General features: G+C 40.4%; 1 protein-coding gene across 3 annotated transcripts in view, besides 1 other annotated feature; it reads right to left on the minus strand.

The window, feature by feature from the left end:
- ATXN1 (ataxin 1) overlaps nt 1-27,083 on the minus strand; it is a 462,349-nt gene that overhangs the window by 404,417 nt on the left and 30,849 nt on the right. The window lies entirely within an intron of this gene.
- Nucleotides 20,215-20,827: an enhancer, noted in NCBI's record as "OCT4-NANOG-H3K27ac hESC enhancer chr6:16723974-16724586 (GRCh37/hg19 assembly coordinates)". NCBI's record gives its function as "activates a minimal SCP1, AML or CMV promoter by ChIP-STARR-seq in naive H9 embryonic stem cells {active_cell/tissue: H9 hESC(naive)}" and the evidence as "EXISTENCE:reporter gene assay evidence [ECO:0000049][PMID:30033119]".

A 27,083-nucleotide genomic window follows, 5' to 3' on the forward strand; every position in this document is an offset into this window, starting at 1 on the left:
GAAAAGTATTGCAACTAGGTTTGAACAAAATCATGTAAACAAAAGACTTGGAGACTAACATCTTAATTTTAACAATGACTATACTGGGCTGTGGGGGTAAATGTTTCCTTTCTTTACTCAGTTTAGGAAACTGTGCCTATAATAAATAGTACATCTATGGTGAATGTACTTAATGCCACTGAAATGCATATTTAAAAATGGTTAAAGTGGGTTGGGCACAGTGGCTCACGACTGTAATCCCGGCACTTTGGGAGGCCGAGGCGGGTGGATCACCTGAGGTCAGGAGTTCGAGACCAATCTGGCCAACATAGTGAAACCCCGTCTCTACTAAAAATACAAAACTAGCTGGGTGTGATGGCGCACGCCTGTAATCCCAGCTACCCGGGAGCCTGAGCCAGGAGAATTGCTTGAACCTGGGGGGTGGAGGTTGCAGTGAGCTGAGATCACACCACTGCACTCCAGTGCAGGCAACAAGAGCGAGATTCCATCTCAAAAAAACAAAGCAATAACAACAACGGTTAAAGCAGCAGCTTTTATGTTGAGTGTCTCTAACTACCATTTAAAAACTTAAATCTGTATAAGAGAGCAGGCAAAACACGTCATGGAGCCCACACTGTACGAATGTTTTGGAGGTGCGCACTGAGTTAAAAATAAAAAACATGGAATTTATTTTCATTTCCTATCTAATTTGGTCTCCAGAGCCTGCTAAGTACAGTTTCCATTTCTACTCGGGTGCAAGAGCAATGGCTTATTTGCTGTTTTACGGAGCAGTTCCTTAACTATCATTGCCTCTGAACCCCCTTTCCCCCCAAGATTGACTGTCGGTCTACAGAATCAGTTAAGTGCTACAAATCACTACTAACAGCTCCTGCGAGGCGCTCCCTCTAAGAATCTGTACAGATCAAAATCTCAAGTGCTTACTTGCCCAGGGACTGCCATAATTTGAGGTGTTGCTTCTTTTTAAAGTATAAAAAACAGATGCTCTAAGCTGATGAAAGTAAATGTCCTTTCAACACATCTCTTCCCCAGCACTTGAAAATCTTACCAACAAGAAGTACTTCCCACACTCCGGTCGGTAATTTCTGCACTTTTTTACTTTTCCTTTGAAGCCGCAGTGCAATGTGATTCTACACCCGGGGTGAAACAATTCCTTACGGGGAGCCTTTGGAGAGCACCCCAAACAAGGGGGCTGCTGGAATGCAAGTGTGATGCCCAAGGAGACTGTCTCCCTACCTCAGAGCTGAAGTGATCAAATGCTTCTTGACAACCTTCACGAGAAGTCTCAAAGTTACACACACAGGCTTAGTCATTTCCAAACGTCTGCACCAATGTGCAGAACTTTTCCTGCCCTGCTCTCTAAGCACTCAGCGAGGGGGAGGGGGCACAGTGCAAAACAGACCAGTGAATCAAGCGACCACACTGTAGCCCTACACCAGTGCTCTGCAGGCCCCCTTGCCTCCTCAGGCCTCACCTCTCTCATCTGTAATTGCAGAGATTGGACCCAGTGATCCTAAAATCCCTACCCGCTGGAGCATCCTAGAGTCTCTGTGACAGGAATATGACACGATTGCCCACAGCAGTTCACACAGAAGCCAAAATCCAGGTAGTGAGCCTATGCTGGGACTTGGGGGAGGGCTAAAGTGAAGGCAGGGATCAGAGGGTGAGCAAAGAAATTAATGATACAGAATTCCAGACCTACTTCAAACAATAGCCCTACTGTTTTGCTCACCCCACACTAGGTTTTAGGGAAAGAGATATAAGGATACCTCGTCCTCTGTGAGGTGACTCAACAGTCACAGACCCAAACTGAATGATGGAGCAGAATAAAATCAAGTAACGTAAACATCCACATAGTCCAATTCTTTCCCTGATCCAGTAAGTCACGGAGGCCGTTCCTGAGATCCAGACCTATTTATACAAGTGCAGGCTGGGCACCTTTCCCTGAAGGTCCCACTCAGTTATTCTCTTGGTTCCCCAATCACAGTGAGTGGTGTCATTTGCCCATTCACTTCCTCAAACCAGACACTACCCCCCTCTCATTCACTTCCAATATCTAATTGCTCATCAAGTCCTCTAAATCCTTGCTTATTAACATCTCTCCAATCTGCTCATTCTTTCCATTCTGTCACTTCCATTGCCACTCCAAACTCCATGAGAACAAGGGGCCTGTCTGTCCTGGTCCCTGCAGAAGCCGCAGCACACAGACCTGTGATTAGCATGAAGCAGGTGCTCTGTGGTTCTGGAATTTTCAACATTCCTCTGTCACCTGGATTTCTACAACTGCTTCCTCTCTGGTCTCCTTGCCCACCACCTGGTCCCTTATCATGCCAAATGCATAGCACTAACAGAATGAAATCACTGAAACACACACCTGACTTTTCACATCCCTACAGTCCTTGAATGGGTCTACATTGCATCCAAGATAAAATCCAAGATCTCTGCTTGGCTCACAAGGGCCCTTCCTGATCGAGACCCTGAGCCCCTCTAGCGGTGTCAGGCCTGCCTCACTATGGACCTACCAAACTGCTTATTGCTCCTTCAGCCCATCCATATAATACTATTTTGCACTTCTTTTGTCTTTCTTTGCCCAAGCTTGTCTGAACAACTCCTCATTCTGAAAAGCTTGGACTGAAGGACGTGCTCTGCAGGCCTTCTCAGCACCCTTTCCTCCAGTCAACCTGACTCAGGTATGAAACATACCCTACCATAATGCTTAACAGAGAGCAATGATTAATCTGTTGCCTGCTCCCAGTACTAGAGGTCAAAGACCACATCCTATCTTATGCTTTAGCCTCAATACCTAGAGCAGAATTTGGCGCCCAATACGTATGCAAGAAATCTTTGTTGAATTAATGAAGAATGGAGAAAGAGAACGAGAGGCAGAGAGAAAGAAAGAGATCTTAAAGGAAGAGAGGGCCGGGCACAGTGGCTTATGCCTGTAATCCCAGCACTTTGGGAGGCCGAGGCAAGTGGATCACGAGGTCAGGAGTTCAAGACCATCCTGACCAACAAGGTGAAACCCTGTCTCTACTAAAAACACAAAAAAATGGTCCGTGCGTGGTAGTGCACACTTGTAATCCTAGCTACTCAGGAGACTGAGGCAGGAGAATTGCTTGAACCCAGAGGCGGAAGTTGCAGGGAGCCGAGATTGCACCATTGCGCTCCAGCCTGGGCGACAGAGCAAGACTCCATCTCAAAAAAAAAAAAAAAAAGGAAGAAAGAAAGAGGACCCTGAGAGGGTTAAGTGCTTTATTCAGGGCTAAATAAACCAGACTGGGACAAGAATTCAGGCCTCCTAACTTTCTCTGATGGATCCTCCTTCTTCCAATCCATCCCATAAATGCTTTTCAAATTTCTCTTCTCTTCACTTTATCACCTCCCGCTAGACGAGCTTCTACAGTTTTCCTAACAGCTATTGAATCTCTATCATCTCTTTTCAATCCTAGACTTAGATATACAATTTTCTGTCACCTAAATGTCTCATTGGCAGCTCAAATTCAAAAGATGAAGAAATGAAATAATTACATTTCTAACCACCCTGCCACCAAGAAAAAGAAGTTGTTCCTCCTCAGGAATCTGTAGGCTCCTCCTCCCCATTCATACAGTCAGCACTTGAGACAGAAATGTGGAAGCTAGCATCTATTTTTTTTAATTACTATTTCTATACTAGGACATATACCATGTGTTTTACATGTCTTATTTCATTTAAAATGGCAGAACCAAACCTTGGTAAGAAGTCATGCAAATGGAATTTGGGAGGGAAGAGAATAGGGTAGGAAAAAATAAAAGAAATCTGATATTTGCCACTCATACTTGGCACCATCAACTTCTCTTTTTCTCAAACTCCTCAAATACAACACCAAATCCTCCCGGTTGTTCCACCAGTCCTCCCACTCTACTGCCACTACTCTAACCTGGACCCTCCTAAAGTCTCCTGGACTTCTTCAAGAGTACCTAGATGGTCTCTCTGTCTCAATAACACCCCAATGAATTCTATCTTCTACTCTGCCCAGAGAATGAACTTTCTAAAAGTAGAAGTCATTTCCGGTTCCAAGCAAGGTGGGGAAGTTGCACAGGCTAGAGGTTGATGCAGCTGAGAGTTATTTTCCATGTGATGGGGAATTCTTGCAGGAAAGAAGGTGGTTAAGTCTCAGTAGAGGGAACACTGGGGAAAATAGCAGACTGAGAGAGAAGAGGTCCAATGGTTATGAGTGGGGGAGTCATTTGGGGAACTTAAAAATTACTGATAATTTTTAGACATAAAGGAAACTATGTTTATACCTAAGTTTATGTTTAAATAAAGGTATAAATGCTACAAGAATAAAATAAAATGTGTTCGGGAAAAAAAATCCGATCTATCCAAAGGAAGAAAGCAAAACAAAACAAAACAAAAAGTAAAGCCAAGTAGAAAACATTAAATGAAGCTAAAAATCTTAATAAAAATGATTACAGTAAGGATAACTGGGTATAAAGTCACTAATCAAATAACAGAGACAAGTACAGAGCTATGCACAATATGTGGTGGGGGGGAAGAATGATGCGTGTAAAATGAACATATACAATGACATTAAAACTAAAAGATTTTTAAAAAAGAAAATATAAGCAAAACTAAAAACAAAAACCAGGATAGCACTCTGAATATCAGACAAAATGGAATGTAAGGTTAAAAGCATTATAAATGATGGTGAGGGACATCCTAGGCTGGCAAAAGGAACAACCAATAAAGATGATTTTATAATCGTCAACATACATGCATCTAACAAAATGGCACAGAGATATTTAAAGCAACAACTATGAAGAGAAATAAATAAATAAAAATGTAATTAGCAATTAAGGAAAAAAGGGAAGCTTAAAAATTCCCCACGTCTGTGAATTAAAATGTTTACTACTAGACAATTCCCAGAGGAAATAAAATGGAAATACAAAATACTGAGTTAAGTGACAATAAAAGTATATATCAAAATTTGTACAATGCAATTAAAACATAAGGGCTCATTGCAAGACCTCGGCTGAAGTCTGAACAGCCTGCAGCTCTTGTAGCCATATTCAGATCAGTAGATTTCTAGACAAGGAGAATTGCCAGAGTTAAAGGGTCATTTCATAATAATTAAAGGGTGTACTTATTAGGAAGATACATCAATCTTAAAAGTGTGTGTACCTAGGAACAGAAAAAAAAAGAAGACGTTCAAATCAGTGATATAGAGAAAGGAAAGCAAGCCAGGCACGGTGTCTCATGCCTATAATCCTAGCACTTTGGGAGGCCAAGGCAGGTGGAACACCTGAGGTCAGGAGTTCAAGACCAGCCTGGCCAACGTGGCGAAACCCTGTCTCTACTAAAAATACAAAAATTAGCTGGGCACGGTGGTGCATGCCTGTAATCCCAGCTACTTGGGAGGCTGAGGCAGGAGAATCACTTGAACCCAGGGAACAGAGTTTGCAGTGAGCCAAGATTGTGCCACTGAACTCCAGCCTGGGTGAAAGAGCGAAACTCTGTCTCAAAAAAAAAAAAAGAAAAGAAAAGAAAAAGAGAAAGGAAGGAGGAAGGAAAATTAAATCCAAAGTAGGGAAAAAGAAGGAAATAATGAGAAGAACAGAAAGCAAACAGTAGTTCATTCTTTGAAGAGCTTAATAAAATTAATTAACATCTAGCAAAACTAATCACAAAAATAAGTAAATGAAAACATCATTAAAAATGGAAAAGGGGATATCACTATAAATCCTACAGACACTAAATAGATAAGAAGAAAGTATTACTAAAAACTTTATGTCAATAAATCTCACAACTTGGATGAAATAAAAAACTTCTTGAAAAATAGAAAGCATAACTTACCAATAGCAAGAATAAACAGAAAATCTGAAGAGTTGGCTATATGTTAAGAAATTGAATTCAGTATCAAAATCCTTGGCACAATGATGATACAACTGTTCTGTATCCTGATTGTGGTGGTAGTTATGCAACTCTACACATGTTAAAATGCATAGAATTGTACATCAAAAAAGGGAATATTTTACTTTATAATGTTTTTAAATTAAATTTTAAAAACTTAGAACCTTCACACAAAGAGAACTCCAAGCCCAAAGATTTCACTGTGGAATTTCATCAATTTTAAGAGGAAAGAAAATCTTACATAAATTCTTTCAGAAAATAGTAAAAAACAGGAGGACTCCACGAATACATTTTATATAATCAGTATTACTAACACTAACACTAAACCCTAGTAAATATTATATAAAGAAACAAAATTACAGACCAATGTTCTTAATAAACATAGTCGCAAAAATACTTAATAAAATGTTAGCCAAAATATCCAGCAATAGGTCAAAATAACACATAATTATAACTGGTTCTTATCCCAGGAACTCAAGTTTGGTTTAACACTTAAAACCAATCAATATAATTCACCACATAAAGCGGAAAACCATATGACATCTCAACAGAGGCAAAAATGAACTGCACAAAATTCAACACACATTCCCGATAAAAACAAACAAACACAAATTCTTAGAAAAAAGAGAATAGAAGGAAACTTCGTCAATCCAATAAAAGGCAAATGAAAAACCTACAGCTAACATCATGATGAAATAGTGGTGAAATAGTTAATACTTTCCCTGTACGATCAGAAAAAAAGTCCTGGTTATATAAATAATTTGAAAAGGATGATTTAAAAATTACATGTATTATATCGAAAAGCATAAAGTACAATTAAATTTTACCAAAGATATGCAATGTCTCTGCAGGAAAAACAGGGAAACATTCCTGGCAGAAATTCATTAAAAAGGCAGAGAAAGATATACCGTGTTTTTGAATTGAAGTTTCAATATTGTTAAGGTGAATTTTCCTTAAATTTCTCTCTTATGATTCAGTGCAATCTGAACTAACTTCTAACAGGCTTTTTTGGGGGGTAGGGGGATTTATATGGAACTCTGAAGGAGATAGAACACCACCAAAATAATCTTGAGGGAAAAAACAAGACAGAGAGGACTCACGCTATCTGTTTTCAAGATTTACCATAAAGCTATTTAGTTTTTAATTTTAACATTTATTCATTATTTTTGAATTTTATTGTTATTATTTTTGAGACAGGGTCCAGCTCAGTCACCCAGGCCGGAGTGCAGTGGCATGATCACAGCTCACTGTAGCCTCAACCTCCTGGGCTCAAGCGATCCTCCCACCTCAGCCTCACCAGTAGATGGGACTACAGGCACATGCCACCTCACCCAGCTGATTTTTGTATTTTTAGTAGAGATGGGGTTTTGCTATGCTGCCCAGGCTGGTCTCAAACTCCTGAGCTCAAGCAATCTTTCTGCCTCGGCCTCCCAAAGTACTGGGATTACAGGCATGAGCCACCACACCCAGCCTATTATTATTATTTTTAATAGAGACACGGTCTCACTCTGCTGCCCAGGATGGAATGCAATGCTGCAGTCACTGTAGCCTCAAACTCCTGGGCCCAAGCGATCCTCCCACCTCAGCCTCCCAAGGTGCTGGGATTACAGGCAAGAGCCATAGAGCCCAGCCCATGACAGTATTTTAATCAAGACAATATAGTATTGACCTAAGTACAGACTGCAGATCAGTGGAACAGAGAGTCTTAAAACACATATAAAACCAAATGATTTTTGACAAAGGTGTGATGGCAATTTCATAAGGAAAAAAAATCACTTCAATAATTGTTGTTTCATACATTTTAATAAAAACTGAATCTTGACCCCTACACCTCATATCTTAATTTGAAATGGCTCATATACTTAAATGTTAAGGCTAAACTAGAAATCTTCCAGGAGAAAACAGGAGGATAACATCTTAGCAACCACAGGGTAAGCAAAAATGTTATAAAGACACAAAAAGCATATATCTTAAAAAATGATAAATTAGACTTCATTAAAATTTAAAGGGGCTCATCAAACACAGTTTAAAAAATGAAAAAGGTAAGCCAAACACTGAGAAAAAATTCATATTTCTGATAAATGACTTAAATCCAGACTATATAAAGAACTCATATATATACACATATATATACACATATATATATACACACATATATGTAAGTTCACAAAATAAAAAAAAAAACCATCTATATCTATATAGATATAGATTGTTTGTTTTGCGACACATCATTCTGTTGCCCAGGCTGGAAGTGCAGTGGCACCATCATGACTCACTGCAGGCTTGACCCCTCCCAGGCTCAAGTGATCCTCCCACCTCAGCCTCCTGAGTATCTGGGATTACAGGTGCGTGCCACTGCTGCCGCCTAGTTTTTGTATTTTTAATAGAGACAGGGTTTCACCATGTTGCCCAGGCTGATCTCGAACTTCTAGACTCAAGCAATATGCCTGCCTTGGCCTCTGGCTAGCATTTTTTAAATTAACTGTTGCTACCTGCAACAATACAGATGATCTCAAAAATGATATGCTGAACAAAAGAAAGCAGATACGAAAAAGTACTGACTGATTCCATTTGTATGAAGCTCAAGAACAAACAAAATTCAATTACAGTGACAGAAATCAAAGCAGTGGTTGATGACGGGGAGGTGGAAAGTTGACAGGAAGGGGGCAGAGGGGCTCTGGGGTGATGGAAATGTCCCATATCTTGATTAGGATGCTGATTATGTGGATGTATGCATTCATCAAAACTCATTGCGCTGTACGCTTAAGATGTGTTGATTTCACTGTATGTTCTCCCTAAATAGAAACTAATTTATTAGTGAAAAGAAAGATGTACTTTCTTTTCACTATTAATAATAAACTAATTTATTAGTGAAAAGAAAGATGTACTTTCTACCTGGAGGGTCTGTGGGGATAACCCCTATTCCGTACAAAGGAACAGTGAACATGCTTGAGTGAAAACAGCCACGCAAGGCAGACAGCAAGTGAGAAACGCCTAAGGCAGGGGAAGAACGGTGGTCTGCTACAGTGAGAAGAGAAATAGAGAAGACTGAGTCAGAAGGGGAAGGTATACACCAAACAGGAAGACACGAGTGAACTGAACGCAAGAAGTAGAAAGTAAGAGACCTAAATTCGTGTTTCCAAATAATCCAGTTACCACATTACACTCAAAAAAAGAACCAAAGGCAGTTTTATTTGGAAATTGTTCTCTTCCTCCCTCGACACCTCTGTTAATCAAATTGGAAGCTAGGGGAGGGAACTGAGTAAAGGCAGGGACCTGAACATATCCCTCCGTTTTTGCTTTTTTTTTTTTTCTTTTGCCCCTTAATCAGCCACCTTCAAAACAGTGCCTTTCTAGGGCTAACGTCCTGCCTGTGGCATCTCATCACTGATAAACATCAGGAAGTAACTGCCATTCGCCATTTATAGATTTATATGTACCTGCTAGGATAATGAGATTCACAATCTGTTCATTCCCTTAGTAACTGAATGAAACTCACAAATGGCTACGAGGGAGTATCCTAGTTCACTGAAGCCCAAGCTGGCCTCAGGAACCAGAGATAACATTTCTCCTTTTTCCAGCTGAATTACTAAGACAAGCAAGAGATGACTCATAATAAGCATAGTTGATGAAGCAATTAATGCCAACTCTTCCTCTCTGAGTCATCCCTTCCAGTGAAAGAATCGCTAGGAGTATTAACCCTGGCTGAAAAAGTAGATGCCATGTGAGCACATTAAACTTTACCAAACAATGGAGTGGTAAGGGAAGAGTTGGAGGGTTTCTGTCCAAACTATCTGAATCTAGAGGGACCGCTCCATGAATAAGTTTCAATACAATTGCGGTAATCAGCACCGCTTCCTCTATTTCAATTTACAAACGCTGGGTTTACAGGAATAGCTTTCTGAGACATTCCTATAAAATTAGCTTACTCACTGAATTTTTAAAAAGGAGAACAAAGCCAAAGGACGCCATTGGCCTCTGGGGGCGTATGTGTGTGAACAAGCTGATGCTGTGTAGAAATGATGTGTCAATATCATTTGGGCTACTTGTGTGAAAACTGCTCAATCCAAGAGTTACTTCTTGTTTCTACTGACTGAACATGAAGAGAGAACCAAATATTCCAGACAGGGAAAGAATCTGAGAAAACATAGAGTGGAGTGATTTCAGTGTGTGTATATGAAGAAGGGGGAGCAAATATAAAATCCAACTGGATGCTTTTCATCCTCCATGCAGTTCTCCACCCGCTTACTACCCCTCACTTAAAGTGTGGTCCTGGGGCCAGCAGCATCAGTTTCACGGAGGGATTTGTCAGAAATACATATTCTCAGGCTCCACCCTAGAACTATTAAATCAGAACCCCTGGGCCTGGCGCCCAGAAATCTGTGGTCTAAACAAGCCTTCCAGGTGCCTCTGATGCAAACATTCAATAAAATGTAATCGTCAAATCTTAACTGGTCCCTGGCCGCGCGTAGTAACTCATGCCTATAATCCCAGTACTTTGGGAGGCCAAAGCGGGTGGATCACATGAGGCCAGAAGTTTGAGACCAGCCTGGCCAACATGTGAAATCTCGTCTTTATAAAAATACAAAAATTAGCCAGGCGTGGTGGTGTGCACCTCTAGTCCCAGCTACTTGGGAGGTTGAGGCAGAGAATCACTTGAACCCAGGAGGCGGAGGTTGCAGTGAGCCAAGATCACACCACTCCATGCCAGCCTGGGCGACAGAGTAAGACTGTAGAAAAAAAGAAAGAAAAAAAAAACCACACACCACACACACACACACACACACACACACACACACACACACACACACCAAAACCTGGCCCCATTTGCATGTACTACTGCTACACTCATCCCTCACTCCCACCCACCTTTCGGAGGTAGGCCGCCCATCACTAGATTTAGCAGAGCATCCGCTGACTGAAATGAGACACAGCTGGGAGGCACCCACCACCACCCGCCTTTGTAGAACAGCTACCCAAAAAGACAAGGATAGCAAGTCCCCTGAAGCTTTTCCAATCTATTCCTTTTTGTGATTGTTTTCCTTTTGAAATAGTGTTAACACATTTTAAAATTATATACATATTCATTTTGAAAAATACAGAAATGGCAAAGAAGAAAGTAAAAACCTCCCAGCTGACACTTAACATTTGTCCCATCTTTTTCTAAGCATCAATATATAAATATTTAACAGTATATACATGTTACTTAATTTTTAAAATTTGTAATTGTATATGTATTTTCTTGTATACATTCCTTTGAAAGCTCTGTGATGGGTGTAGGCTGAACTGCTGGGCTGTACTGTTTTAGAGCAAAAAAAGATACTCATGCTGTAATTCTAATTTTTCTGTGTTTCAAAGGGGGGGCTATTAATTTATTAAATTAATTTTTAAAATTTACTCAAGGTGAATTCTTATCCAGATCAATTCCAGGAGTTACGGGGCGTGGAATTTGCCAGATAAGCCACACCATTCTATGCCATCAAGTCACAGAAACTGGCTTCCCTACACTCTAATTTGTGCCTTGTCTGTTGCTTTGGGCATGAAACAGAATGTGGCTTCTTTCATTTCTCACTTCATTACCTAAAGTGGACATACACCTTCCCATACTCCCTCTCCCCTCTCCTTCCCTAACCTATCCCCTGCCCACCCTGGCCCCATTATTTCTCACTTGGATAACAGGAAGGTCGTACAACTCTCCCTTTTGAACTCATCGTCCACACTGGGTCAAATCTAAAATACATCTGCATATGCCACATCCGCTAAAAATCATTACAATAGCTTCTATTTAAACATGAGTATATCCCATCAGCCTGGCCCCATGCTACATGCGTTCAGACATTATCATATCTTTATAACAATCTTAAGAGACAGAGGCTATTATTTTAACGTTAGAGATAAAGACTCTTACAGCTGAGGTATGTTAAATAACTTGCTCAAAGTCACAAAGCTAGTAAAATTTAGGGCAGCTGACTCTGGAACCTATAACATGTGTTAATTCAAAAAATTTCATGACTACTGCCATCAACGGCAGTGGTTCCCAACATTTTCTTCAATCAAAAATGTTGCAGACTTCAGGCACTAGATGTTTAACTCTTAATATCTGTTGATCAAGAAGATGTACAATGGTCAAAAAGATACTATGAACTTAGTAACGCTGTGAATGAATTCTGGCTAATGACTTACAATATCAGCCAGCTACATATATTTGGAAGAAAGCTCCTATTTCTGTTAGTGATTCTGATGACCAAATCTACAGACCATGCTTTGTGTTGGTATGAATGTGCAGGTCCTCTTTTACAAGAAATGTGGTCTCCCATATGTTTTGGAATCTACAGATTAGAAAACCCCTAGAATATAAGCCAAAGTCCATACTCCTTAGCATTTGAAATGCCGTAAGTTTCCCAGTTTGGCTCCAACTTACTTTTCCAACTAGATTTCCTGTAACCCCATACCACGTCCCCTAAGCCCTACCTCTAGTTGTGTTAGACAAGCATTCCCAAATTACTGGATACCATGCACACTCAAGCCTAGAGGACCACAGCCATTTCTGCTGCAATTCTCTACCTGAAGAACTCAATCTCCTTTGAGACAGAGCTCAAACATCTCCAACCCTATGGAGCCATTCCTGACAACACCCCCACCCACTCAAGGCTAAATTAACGCATCCTTCGTCCATATGATCACAGTCCTATGATGATAAGTAACACACTACAGATAAAATGACATGCATCTCTGTATCTAGCTATCTGACCACTCTTCTCATCCAAACTTCCCAAGGGCAGGGATTGTGCTTCTTCATCAGTGTCTTAGCCCCAGCCCCATCCCTGAAATATGGTAGGTACTGTTTGTAAGATTAATAAATGAGTATCAATGCCAAGCTGGCTAGTGATTTTGCCTGGGGAAGTCAGTTTGGAAAATAGCTCTGACCACTAAAGAAGCTTTCTTTCAGTATGTTGTAATGGTTAATCATCTGTAAACCAGAAAACTCACAACGTCCTCCAAAAGTAGAAGACAAATACACTAGGAACTGGAAGATCTGAGCTCAGGTCCTGGCTTTCCTATGAACCAGCTGTGTGACTTTGGTCAAGTCACATTCCCTCTCTGATCTTCTGTTTGTTCACTGAATTGTGGCAGGGTTGTGGGGGTGCAAAAGGAGGGCTTCTAGTTCTTCCCTGATGCAATTCTCTGACGTGCAAAGGTATAGACTACAGTTGGCAAACATTTTCTGATGAGGATCAGATAGTAGATATTTCAGGCTTTCTTGGACTATGGTCTCTTTCACCATGACTCAAATCAAATTCTGCCAGTGTAGTGCAAAAACTGCTATAGACATTAGACAAATTATTGGATGTAGCTATGTGCTAATAAAACTTTATTTACAAGAACAGGCTGGATTTGGCCCATGGACCATAGTTTGCCTACTCCTGGTCTGGATGAATGCCTCCTTGTTGCCATTCAGTTCACAGAGCTTGATATGAAGATACAGTTCACGAGATGTCCATCCCAAAGCCTCTATCCATTCCAAAGGGACTTATAAGAAGGACAATAAAGATTACCATTCCCCAACCAAGAACTTGACAACGGGGAAGAGATTGCCTAGTTAGCGGTTTATAGTAAGAACAAAATTTAGTGGATGAGAACATGGACATACAAAGCCAACTGAAGAAAGATAATTACTACCATCACCACTACCCCTGCCCCAGCCAGCACCTGATGAAATATAGTCATGAATTTAAGAAAAGACTGTGTCCTCAAAAGGGCGCCAGGGCTGGCTTAGCCAGGAAAGTACAGAGTCACTAAAGTCTATGTAGGCAATGCCAAGGTTGTTGGGGAGAATACAGTGTCTTCACAGGCAAGGCCACCCTAGTGAGATGACTGTAGGGAGTAGCAGGCAATGACTGACATGTTCCTGGTCCCACTAGAAAAGCCACCCTTCTCCTGAGATGAACAGAGAGGCAGGCTATGTTTGCTTGGTGCCACTTAACAGTCAACTCATCCCACTCCCTTGTTCCGATTCCCTGCTCACCAAGCAAACACCTGACTCCATATGGATCTTCCTTAGAGAGCATGTGCACTGTGACTGCTGCTGATACCTGCAGCCAGAGAGCAGCAATTTCTCAAGGCACATCAATAAAGTAGCTTCCAGTTAGGATTTACATTCCCATGCAGCTTAACACAGAGAGAGAATGTGCTCATCATGTGGGCCTTGAGAGTATGTTAGTAATGGTTTCCACTGCGGATTAACATTCTGGCATAACGATCTCGTGGGTCTGAGGATATGCTGGCATCATGGTCTCAACTCAGGCTCATCTGTGGCATAGCTCTCTGAATCAGCATGGCAAGCCCTGGACACAGACCAGAAGCCATCTCTAGTCTCCAAAAGCAGGGGCAGAAGGCGGCGATCGTATGCAGATCCAGCCAGCCCTCGCTGACAGCATGGCTTACACGCCACTTCTGGCTCTACTCACTTTCAACTGATTTTCACAGAGCTGTTTAGGATGATGAAGCCAAAGAACCTGGTGCTTCAGGACAAAGTTTCTGTTTGCTTCCCTATACATGTATAGAATGGAAACTGGCACAAGATTTAATTAAGTGATGTAAAAACCAGAGGAAAGTAAATAAGAGCAACAGCCAAATATCCACAGTACCAATTAGTGACTGGCAGAGTTGCCACACAACAAGGTGCAATGAACAGTTTATGTGTTTCTTTAAAAAATCTAAATCATAGTGAAGGGTCAATGATGCCCAGAAAATGCCAGCTCTTTTGCCCTATTAAGCAGAAAACAAAGGCTCAGTGTATAGAAGTTAGAAAACTTTTAGCCACAAAAATATGACAGTGAATTATGCCTCTTAATAATATGCATGGGGCAAAATGAAAGAGCATTCCAGAAAGAAGGTCAGTGCCTGTTTTGCCTAAATCTTGCCAGGATATGCAAGGCCAAATGCCCCCAAACCAAGGAAGGAAAACAAAACTAACTGCAACGGAGCAAGAATGCAAAGCACCTCCTTTCCTGTTAACTGTGACATAATTCATTTTTCTCCTTCTGTTCCAGAACTTCTAACCTATAGGTCATGCTTATACCCACAGAAGAACCAAGGGAGTAAGGAAGCTGCTGGTTTCCAAAGAAAATGCTTACTTCCCATTTGCAAAGCGTTTCGCTGGAAATGCTGTGTTGAGTTACACCATCCAACTAGGAATTAAATATATTATGCTCTTTGGTAAATTATCAAAATGTAAACCAACAGCTACAGTGGAGACCATCTGAACTGCCAAGAGTTTTAACACTGTGATTTTAGTGAGAAAGAACATTTCCCCTGCTGTTTAGTTTTCAGCTAAGTTCAGCCTAGCTGTTTAGTTTTCAGCTAGCTTCATACAAAGCTGTGCATTGTACGCACAGATGTGTGCACACAATGTATACATGAAGACAACCACACACTTTTGTTCATAGGTTTTTACTGGGAATTTTCACATAGGATTCATTAAGTGAAGGTATGTAGCATGATAAAACTGTCATTTCCTAAGTTTTTCTACCCACCATAATTTGGGAAGTGGCTTTGTTTCTCTGACTACTAGACTTCCTGGGGACTCTGTCTTTATTTCCCGGGGACTCTGTCTTTATTTCCCATAACATTTGCAGAGTGCCATGCACACAATGAGCACTTAATAAACATTTGTTGAATGATTCATCTCCACAATATCAACGCAATTAAGAGAAATCTGGCCTTTCACGTGAATTTATGATACAAGCAAAATAAGCACAACAAATTTTAAAGCTCTTTAGTCCTCTGTCTTCTTATATAGAAAACTATTCAGTATTTCTACATCAAAAATTCTCCAGGGAAGGATAAACATACATTTTTTTATACATTCCCCCAAAGCACAGGAAGAAAGAGCAACTTTATTTCATTTGTGCAAATTGATAGATCACCTTTTGAATTCATGCTAAACAGCTAAATGTCGCAAGCAGCATGCTGTCAAAAACTGTCAAGTGAAATAATTATTGATTGGTGCATTAAAATTAAAAACGAATGTAGATTAATAAATGAAGATGGCTTTAAGAAAAAGCATGTCATCTACAACTAGAAAAACCCGACAGCGAATCTGCCAGTCAGGGCTATAGGGCTTAGAATGAAAGATTAAAGAGGAAACAAGAATAAGAAGATAAAAATTAACCACACAATGGCCTTTGTGACAACCCATGACAGCTGAGATAGGCTCTCCGGATGGTCACATCCCACCTGTCCTTCCTTTTCCAGCCCCTGACATAAATGTCATGGATTTCCCGGGTGGGTCCTAAATCCAATGACCACTGTTCTTCTAAGAGACAGGAGAGGACCTGGTACAGACACAGAGGAGAAGGCCATGTGAAAACAGAGGCAGAGACTGGAGTGACGCTGCCACAAGCCAAGGAACGCCTGGAACCACCAGAGGATGACAGCGGCAAGGAAAGGTTCTCCCAACAGAGCTTCGGGAGGGAGTGTGGCCCGGCTGACACCTGATTTCAGACGTCTGCCCTCCAGAACTTTGAGAGAACAAATTCCTGTTGTTTTAACCCACCAAGTTTCTGGTAATTTATTAGAGCAGCCCTGGAAAACTAACAGAGTTTCCCATCACATTTAGCGTAAAATCCAAGCTCCTGCAGCCTCTAGATCAATTCAAAGGCTCCTTCTGGCCTCAGAGCCTTCACCTGGCCATTCTCTTCCTTTACAGTGCTCATCCTCAGATTCTCATCTCACCCTTCACCACTCCCATCTTCCAGGGCTGGCTCCTATACCTTACTGCAGTCTCTGTACAAAAGCCCATCCCCTAAGACTTTCCCTGACTCCACCAAACAAAAGAATCCCCTTCGCCCCTGCCATCACTCTTTCTCCTAACATATCCTACTCTATTTTGGGGGGTCTGCAAATAGAGTCTACTTATGCAATTTACTTGTGGTTGTCTCCACTATGAGAACATAAGCTCTCTGAGGGCAGGGACTTAGACAACCTTGTTTGTTCTCTGTTACGTCCTCAGTGCATACAACCATGTCTGGTGCAGAAAAGACATTCAATAAATACTTGGTTGTATAAGAATGAATAAATTATTTTTCTGTGCTTTCACTCAATTATAAAAGCCTGACTTGATTAGCACCATCAAGACATATGAGCTTAAGACATTCTCTGCATTGCAAGTCAAGAATGCTTACTATTATTTTTGAAAATATCTGAGGGTTTACAACCTCTCTCCAATGCTCTTCTATTAAAACTCAGTTGATCCAAACATGGCTTTTTTGCTTTTATTATTTGGGTCGAGCTAAAGCATGGTATAAAGGAGAGGCCTAAATCCTTTTCCTACCAGCTATGTGAGCCTGAGTAAGTAATTACCCTCTTTGAGCCTGTAGAAAAGAATGATAAAACATGCTGTGTCTATATCCACAGGGCTGCTATGAGAACCCATTGAGGTAACCCATCCAGCAAAATATTTCTTTAGATGCTGTTCAGGCCAGATACTGTGCTAGCAGTGACACAGTTAGAACCCAGGCAAGAAATGTCTGTCCTTATCAAGCATACCTCTAGGCACATTTTGCAAACTGTCAAGACTTGTGCAGATGTAATGGAATCTGAGATTTGTGCTTGACACACCCAGAGGATAACCAGCTCCCCCGTTCCAAATTATTCCTGCTCTGCATACCTATTAATACAAATGCAAACCAGAAGATGGTTCCCTTAAGACAGCTATTAGTTTTTACTCAATTACTCACACATTTCCCCAAATGTTCCTCATTTGTCTCATGCCGAGCAATTTCTAATACAGATAAAAATCAGGAGCTACTACGAACAAGGTTACGGCATGTAGCCATCCCAAAATGTGGATGCCACAAACCCTGAAACATTATTCCTTTTCATTATTTCAAAAGAAACAAACCACATTTGAAATATGTACCAAGTGGCTGGGGGTGGTTGTTCATGCCTATAATCCCAGCACTTTGGGAGGCTGAGGTGGGAGGACTGCTTGAGGCCAGGGAGTTCGAGACCAGCCTGGGCAACATAGTGAGACCTCGTCTCTACAAAAAATTTGAAAATGAGCCAGCTATGGTGGCACGTCCTTGTAGTTCTAGATATTCGGGAGGCTGGAACAAGAGGACTGCTTGAGCCCGGGTATTTGAGGCTGCAGTGAGCTATGATCATGCCACTGCACTCCAGCCAGGGTGATAGAGGGAGACCCTGCCTCTTAAAAAATAAATAAATAAATACGTACCAGGTATGTCTGCAATGCAGATTTAATGTAATAATTTACAAAATGGCCATGTCATGGTTATTTTTAATTGAATAAAATAGGTAGCTTATGGCTTGTTTTCTGTAACTCAGCCTTAACATTTTGTTAAGCCTTTCATTTGTTTTCCTCAGAAGATGTGCCTATCTTTCAATTCTAAATAAATGGTTCCTATGAACCTTTTGAGAAACAGAATTCTTGGAGGATCTGATTGAAAGCTACAATCCTCTCCCAGAAAAACCCACATACACAGAATGTCATGCTGTAATACAGTTCCTGGGGGAGCCTTGGGACGTTCTGGAAAAGTTCAGTGATCAGAAATGAAGAATTCCCAACCACCTTATTGCAGTGGCCGCAAAGGGGCACACTCAGTGGCCTCACCTGACCACTGCAAAGATTCGTTCTTCTAGCCAGCCTACACAATTAGGCACCAACTCAAAGCAATATCATGTTGCAAACTATGCAGCATTAACTGATGTTGAGGAAATGAAAGGAGATAACGAGTCCAAGCACGCACATTACACACTTCTCCCAAATGGCACTGCAGCAGGGGGCGGCTGTAAGCCAGGCAACAGGAGATGCATTCATTAGCCATGACCTCCCAATGCCAAGAAAGGGCCCAAAGTTCAGCAAATGGGGATGATTAGAAATTTTACAAGAAAATGAAATCTTGAGCTTTTAATTTTACTGAAATGTGATTTTCTGCTTTCAACTCAAAATGCATTTACATGTTCCACGTCCTGTGAAGTTATAAAGAAAAGATACATTTAAATGAACAAAAGCCAAAGGAAGTGCTCACTAATAATAGTCTAATTACAAAAAAGTATCTCCCCCCACCTGCCCCACTGTTTGTTCAATAAAACTGATTCCATACACTGAACCATCTCACTATCGCTTTTCTGGGCTACATGTATATGAGCGCAAAACTCACAGTAAATAACGATAATAAAAAATCCAAAATAACAGGAAACATCTACAATTATCCAGAGAAAATATGTCAAATTATAAAGTCTCTGAGTCATGATAGTAATCAAACCTGAGTCTCTATTGGCTTTACAAAACACTATTAATATTTCCTGTAATAAAAACTGAGGTGTAGTTACTCAGGTTCTTTAGTGAGTCAACACATGTAATTTGCTAAAGCTGAAACACACTGTTGCTTTCCCCATGGCTGAGAATGCAGTGTCAGTAACATGCGAGTTTTCTGCTCTGCTTCAAAAGATCTGTTATGTTTAAGAATTTAAAACACACACACACTCTCTCTCACACACACGCAAATACAGAAGTATTTTCTACCAAAGAAGGTACAAGGTGTTTTTACCCAACAACTCTGAATGTGTGTGATCATGCGTAAAGTTCTCTTTAAGTACTATTGGTATGCTACATTTAAAATATTTCAGACTGTGTTTCCATAAACATTTATACAGACTTCTCAGAAATAAAGGAGAATTCTACTAAGGATTAAAAGTCACTGCCGTGATTTATAAGCTATTTCAACTAAACATTGTAAACTTTGGACTATTTACTTTTCAGTGGGAGAGATCATTCCTTCCAGAGATAGAGTAACATACTATATTATCATTTTTCCTACTTTTAAGTTTCCAGGTGTAACATCTCTGGGGACATTTTCATTTTATTAAAAAATAATAATTTTTGTATGATCCTTTAAACAACAATCTATCCTTCTGCAGTTGAAATGAGTTCAACTACCCACAGTCAGCTTACACATAACTTATTACTATAAATCAACTATAAAAACTAAGCTACAATCATTACTTAATCCTAAAAGGAGGAGGAAGAGACAAAACTCAAGTACAATCTTTTATAGATAAAATCATGTTCTATATCACCCCTTTGGATAAACCTTTTATTTATGAATCTAGCGCATTTCCCCTCGTAGGCTAAATTTCCTTAAGCTTTTCTGGACAAATTCCCTGCATTCAACAGAATAAGTTCCAATGTTTAGTCAGAAAAGAGACTCTGGAGCATTAAGATAATTACACAATTTCAACTTCTAAGTATATATATTTTTAAAATTAATAACATAGTGCACTTCCTTACTTAGAAGGAAATTTAAATTACAAAGAATCTGACATTTTGAAATTTCTGAACCCAAAAGCCATTAAAAAAATAGCCCATGAGCCAAGCAGCTTCACTAAATGTTTATCACAGTGTAACATTTCCACAGTATGAAAAGTTTCTGGCTATCATGCAATTTTAAATTCATGTCCATTTTCACTCGACTGTGTTTTTTTAACATAAGACTAAAGCATGTTGATTCTTACACAAATCATAAAAGAGACTATGAGGAAAGTTCAAAGTAACCTCAAGCATGATGACTTCACGTTCAAAAGATCTTTCTCATGTTAATAACATTTAAATCTCTGCCTGTGTGTGACTCACATGCCTCAGACTGGAAGTTCAGCCCAATCAGCTCTCCCAACTGATTGGTGAGGGAAGTACATACTTCATTGTCTTAAACCCCGAGTGACTGGCATTCCCTTTAACTGGGCAGTGTGTCTAAATATGGAAAAACTTCATGAGAAACTGAAACAGGCAAAGAGGAAAAATATTACTGGCACCAGTCCTTCAGTATGAATCGAGAGAAAATTCATGAAGTCTCCAAAAGAATTTTTTAGGTGTCTTTTTGATGAGCAGGAATTCCAGTGCCTAGGGCTTTCAGTTCTTTGTGCATCAAAGTTTTCTTCTAAGCATGTATGGTCATGGAAGAGCTGGAGTATCTTTCATGACAATGGCCTCTAATCAAACCCAGTGTTCACCCCTGAGAGACGACCTGTGCACTTCACTCCATCCATCACAGGCAACTAAATATACAACCAGGGCAAGCAACCCATGAACAGGGTGAAAAACAGCCACTGGAGCTGGCTATTTACAACCTTGCTCTGCTCTAAAACTTTCTACGGGACAACCATTCAGACCCGAGTTCTATGTACAATAGGTTTCAGCCTTAGCAAATTAGATAGATGCACTGACTTACTTGCTAAAGAACCTGAGGAATGACGCCTTAATTTTTATTATAGGATATATTAATAGTGTTTGGTAAAGCTGATATAGAGTCAGGTTTGATTGCTGATATAGAATCAGGTTTGATTACTGTCATGACTCAGAGGCTTTATAATTTGACATATTTTATCTGGATAACTTTAGATTTTTCCTGTTATTTTGGTACTGGGTTGCAGCACACAGGTGGCACCTAGTCTTAGGGCTGTGAGGATCCCGCCATGGCCTGAGCTCAGTCACTATTACCAGCTTCACCAGAGAAAGACAGGAAGTGGAGAAGTCCAGGCTAACATGAGTTTCCCAGAGAAACACAACTTATTTTAATGTCAAACCTGTTAAACTAAATTATGATCCATTTGAGAGAAGGCAGGTCAGATGACTAAAACTAACCGTTTATTAAGTTTTGAAGAATGGAAGTGGCTATATGGTTTTATAACATGATCCCTTGGAAAATTAAAATGAAAGTATGTTAACTTCCTATGGCTTTAAATGGTGTGTCTTGCTTGTAATGTTGGACACTGGACTCCTCTAGAGCCTTCTTAAGTACGAGAGCTGAGTTTTCTGTGTTTATTTAGGTTTCGAGAACTGCTATTTATTACTCCGATACTGCGTGTTTTCATTCCAGAGGAGTGTGATTGTTAATTTGTTATTGCGAGTTCCTTAAGGAGTCAAAACATCCAGAGAAAAGCATGAACTACACACAGCAATAAAGGCTAGAAAATGTCTCAACAACATGGAAATGACTCACTGCTAAAGACATGGGGGATTAAGAAACACTCTCCCATTCAATTCAGGGTAAATTTGTTCAGATGAAACAAACAAGAAAAAGAGCTAAATCCAGTTTTTGAATCAGAAACCGAATTTAGAAAAACATCTTGGTTGAAATGCCCTGTGAAAATAGTTTTAAAGTATTTCTCTTCCTTCCTCTCATCAGTAAGGTCAATAATCACTTGCACTCATTGTGCATATTTGGCCCAGTAGCTACTCCCACATTCTCACATTCAACAATATTTATGCCCAGATAAGGGAGAGAATCATCCTTTCACAAGCTGACTATGTTTATTCCAACATTTTCCTGCACCATTTTAAAGGAAGAGAAAAAAAGCATCAAAAGAAAGCTTAAGCGCTCCTAAGGGAAAAGACTCAATACATACAGACCTTTTTAATCAATTCAGATCCAAGTACACAAGGAACAAGTGCATATGGGCAGGAACGACTGGTAAATATTTGCTAAATAAAGGCAGCTGATATTTCTCTGCCCGCTTTGCCCCTAGCCCTCTGACTCCTCCTCCCCACAATACCCACATAATTTTCCTTTTGGCCATAATATAGAACTCAATCACCATATTAAGATGAAGCCCTAGAAAGTAGCTTCTTATACCCTGTGAACTGTAAGAGGGAGGGGTTCCAGCCGGGCACAGTGGCTCATGCCTGTAATCCCAGCACTTTGGGAGGCCAAGGCAGGCGGATCACCTGAGGTCAGGAGTTCAAGACCAGCCTGGCCAACATGGCAAAACCCCATCTCTACTAAAATACAAAAATTAGCTGGGCGTGGTGGCGTGTGCCTGTAATCCCAGCTACACAGGTGGCTGAGGCAAGAGAATCGCTGGAACCCGGGGGAGCAGAGGCTGCAGTGAGTCAAGATTGCATCACTGCACTCCAGTCTGGGTGGCAGAGCAAGACTCTGTCTCAAAAAAAAAAAAAAAAAGGGAAGGGTTCCCAGTTCTGCCCACTAACATTAAGAGATTTTCATATGTATAATATCTTAGTGTCACTGCTAAACTAAAACACTAAGGTAGAACTTCTCTTCGTAGATGATACCAATTATCATTTTAAAATGCAAATTACTAAGACCTCTTGCACCCAATTATGTATGACATAGAATAATTTCTTGGCCGGGCCCGGTAGCTCACACCTATAGTCCCAGCACTTTGGGAGGCCGAGGCGGGTGGATCACTTGAGGTCAGGAGTTCAAGACTAGCCTGGCCAACACGGTGAAACTCCATCTCTACTAAAAAGACAAAAAACAGCTGGGTGCCTGTAATCCCAGCTACTCTACTCAGGAGGCTGAGGCAGAAGAATCGCTTGAAGCCGGGAGGTGGAGGTTGCAGTGAGCCAAGATCATGCCATTGCACTCCAGCCTGGGCGACAAGAGCGAAACTTCATCTCAAAAAAAAACAAAGAATAATTTCTTAACAGGGTCCTACTTCAGATGGATTGCTCAAGAGTTCAGGCCATATGGAGTACAATTAGACACTGAACATACTACTTTCTGGATCTGGGCCAGTATGACAAATATTACAAAAGCTATTTTTTCCAGAAAGTCATCACAGTTTGAAACAGACAGTGACTTATTACCCTAAAGCCTTTTCAATTATGAAGTGCCTGCTCTGGTGTTACTACATATACAAAGGTGGTTACAAACATAAATAAGTAACCAAGTCTGTTTTCTCTTTCTCTCCTCTAGTAAATTATGTTAATTAAGCAAATTAAGATGATTAAAGTTCAAAATCTTTCATAATTGTTTACAATTTTCAAGTATCAGTAAAACCACAAAGCAAATAGATGTATTAAATATAATAAAAAAGCAATTAATTTTGGATCCATATATACTAGTAGGTAAGAGAAAAAATGGAAATAAATAATTCCAAAGTGAGGTTTGATGCTGAAAATTTGAACCACCGTCTCTGTCAATTATTGTAACACACAAAAAAGTTACTACATACTCAGTAACTGGGCTCAGAGAAGACATCTAATATGAATAAGAAAACAAGTCCAAATTACAATGTTTCAAGAAGAAATATAGTTTTAACTCTCTTAAGTACTTATAAAAAAATTTCAAAATGATCATCAAATTACTTAATGAATAGACTAAGAGAGCTTATATAATAATGTAATACAAATTATGTATATATAATCATATAATGCATGCAAACAGGAACTTCCAAAGTGCTTAAAAACAAATTTCCTTTATTACTGACTCTTAGCTGTTATTAGTCTGTGACATTATTTATATTATTTGTTAGCATAAAAAATCTTTTCTTCTTAGACATATTACTAATATAAATATTAATTCAATGTGTCCACAAATTCGGACTATAAAATGATCAAAATTAACAAAATTTCTGTCTACTGAAAGTGAAAATTCGTCAGAGACCGTTTCCTCCATTTACCAAGCCGAGATGCCAGTGGGCACAAAAATAATTTAAGCCACAACTGACCAACTTGAGACTGCACATTTGTTCATTCATTCGGGCCATACTTATTCACCATCTACTACTCTAAAATGGGGAAGCTGCAAGGGCAGCTGTAGAGGTCACTTGGTCTAGACCCTCATTTTGCATGAGGAGGCTGTGAGGATTACAGAGATTAAACGCCTGGAGCATGCTGAGTTTATCACAGAGAAAGGGCTGGAGAAGAGAGCAGGTCCCTTCCCTCCCTGCTCCTTGCTCTTTCTGCCACACTACCCTGGAGCTGAAAGGAGGCAAAGGCCTCCAGTCACATGGAGTCTGACTGGGACGCAAGACATCTAAGCCACAAAATGAAGCAATAAATGACATGATCAAATAAGCTGTGCGCACAGGGCAGTGGGGAGGGAAGTTGGTTTGGGCTGAAGCAGCTGGGGAAAACTTTCCGTCCCGGAGAAGTGGAGATTCATGCTGGGCATGGACAGTGGGGCAGAATGAGGACAGGTAAAGGCAGAGGGGCTGGGAACCCTCACAGCAAAGCAGGGTGGTCAGAAACAAACAGGATATGTATGGGCAACATCTGGGATGTAGGACAGAAACCAGGTTCTGCCCACCCTTTCTACAACTCAAGGTCTCCCTCTCACCAACTCCACTACACGCCATCACCCATATGCCTGGTATTTTGCCCTAAATGCTACACAAATAAGTTAGAAAACTCCAAAGGAGAATGGTAATATCATCATAGCAGGTGAAGTGTGAATACTAGGGGTATTACGTATATTGATTTTCTTAGTCCTTACATTGACTATAATCCCCACTCTTCAGATGAAGAAACTGAGGCACAGATAGGTTCAGGGACTTGGCCAAGGTGGTAAATGTCAAGGCTGGTATTCGAACTAGAGAGATATCAAAATTCTGGTATACCCAACCACAGATGAGGGACGCAGGCACAACCTTCACCAAGTGTGGATCCCAGCTGCAGGACAGCTTGGCATTCCCTTCCCCGTCACCCAGCTTCTATTCCTTCCCATTCTCCTTCTATTTATTCCTAGTTACTAAGAATTTTTAAGGTGCTATCACACCTCCAGGGCTACTTCCAAAAGCCTAGTCGAGCTGACTCAAAGGGAAGGTTCTTTAGGGACCTCAGCAATCCAAACACAGCAGACATCTGAGAAATCCTGAAACAAGTCTTCCTACAGAATGATGACTGCCTGCCTCTCTGGCAACTGAGAATGGGTTTTAAAAACATCCTCCTTTACTGTACAAAGTATCTGGTCACAAAGTTTGTTATTGGCAGAACCAGGATTAAAAATTATGACCTCTGCCTTTTTTCTCTCTCACCCTTATTCTCCCAAGGTGTATATTTATATGTTTTGCAAAGTAGCCAAAGGCAGACTTCAAAAGGAGCTTTCCTGTGGGGTGAGCGGTAAATGAATAACGGCTGGACTGAGAGAGCAAAGAGAAAATGAGTCATGGATATTGTGTTAAATATATAAGCGTTCGCTGGCTTTCTTTGAAATGTTTTCTCATCTAAACTTGGGAGCTGCTGGCTTTGTATTTACTCACCCTGAAACTGCATCTGGGACTCCGGAGTCAAGCTCTGAATAACATTCAAAGCCTGTATTCTTTCGTTCGAATTTTAGGCATTGCAACTTGTCATACCTATGTCTTTTACAGCAATGCAACTTAAATGAGGCAATAACTGAAATGGCTTAACCAGGGAGATGTGGTTTAGCACCATGTTGCAATCCAGCCATCCAACCCTCATGGAGGTCTCTGAGTTGGGGGAACCTACCAACAACTGGTTTACTGAGATCTCACAGCCCACACTATGATGCTTTGGGTGCCACTAACTAAAAGGTCCCTCTTTTTAATTATCTATTGCAACGGTTATATTTTTGTTCTATGGATTCTGGCCCTCCCACCTGATTCCTGACACAGAGAAAATGGCCCTCTGAACATCAGTCACGTAGGGTACTTAAGGACTAAGTGCTTAGCAGTCTGTTTGGCACACAGTAGGTGCTCAATAAATGTTGATTACCTTTCTTCCTTTTTCCCCAAATGAATGAAAAACCTCTCATCTCAGAGATGGCAACAGATTAAAAAAAGAAACTTCAAAAATTGGCCAAGCGCGATGGCGCACGCCTGTAATCCCAGCAATTTGGGAGGCTGAGGCAGGCAGATCACTTGAGGTCAGGAGTTCAAGACCAGCCTGACCAACACGGTGAAACCCAATCTCTACTAAAAATACAAAAATTAGTCGGGCATGGTGGTGCACGCCTGTACAGCTACTCAGGAGGCTGGGGCAGGAGAATCACCTGAACCCGGGAGATGGACATTACAGTGACGTGAGATTGTGCCATTGCACCCCAGCCTGGGCAACAGAGTGAGTGAGGCTCCGTCCCAAAATAAATAAATTAATAAATGGAAATGAACAATAACTTGGAATTTCCTTTATAAAATTAGATGTCTGCATATTAAATGAAGTTTGTTACTGCTTGATTACAATTTAAATTCAAGATTATCACTAAAAATCCCTTTATAGGTAGAAGTTAGGGAAAAAGATGTGTGAACGCAAAGCTTTCTGGAGTTAAAGGGTAAAACAGTATGTATATATATATATATATATAAATGTATTTATACATATATAATGTAATATAAAATATTTATGTACAATAATATATTTCTTAATTCTACAAAATACAGAAAGAATATTATAAGAAAATGTCCCACC

Source organism: Homo sapiens, chromosome 6, assembly GCF_000001405.40.
Source record: "Homo sapiens chromosome 6, GRCh38.p14 Primary Assembly".
NCBI lineage: Eukaryota > Metazoa > Chordata > Mammalia > Primates > Hominidae > Homo > Homo sapiens.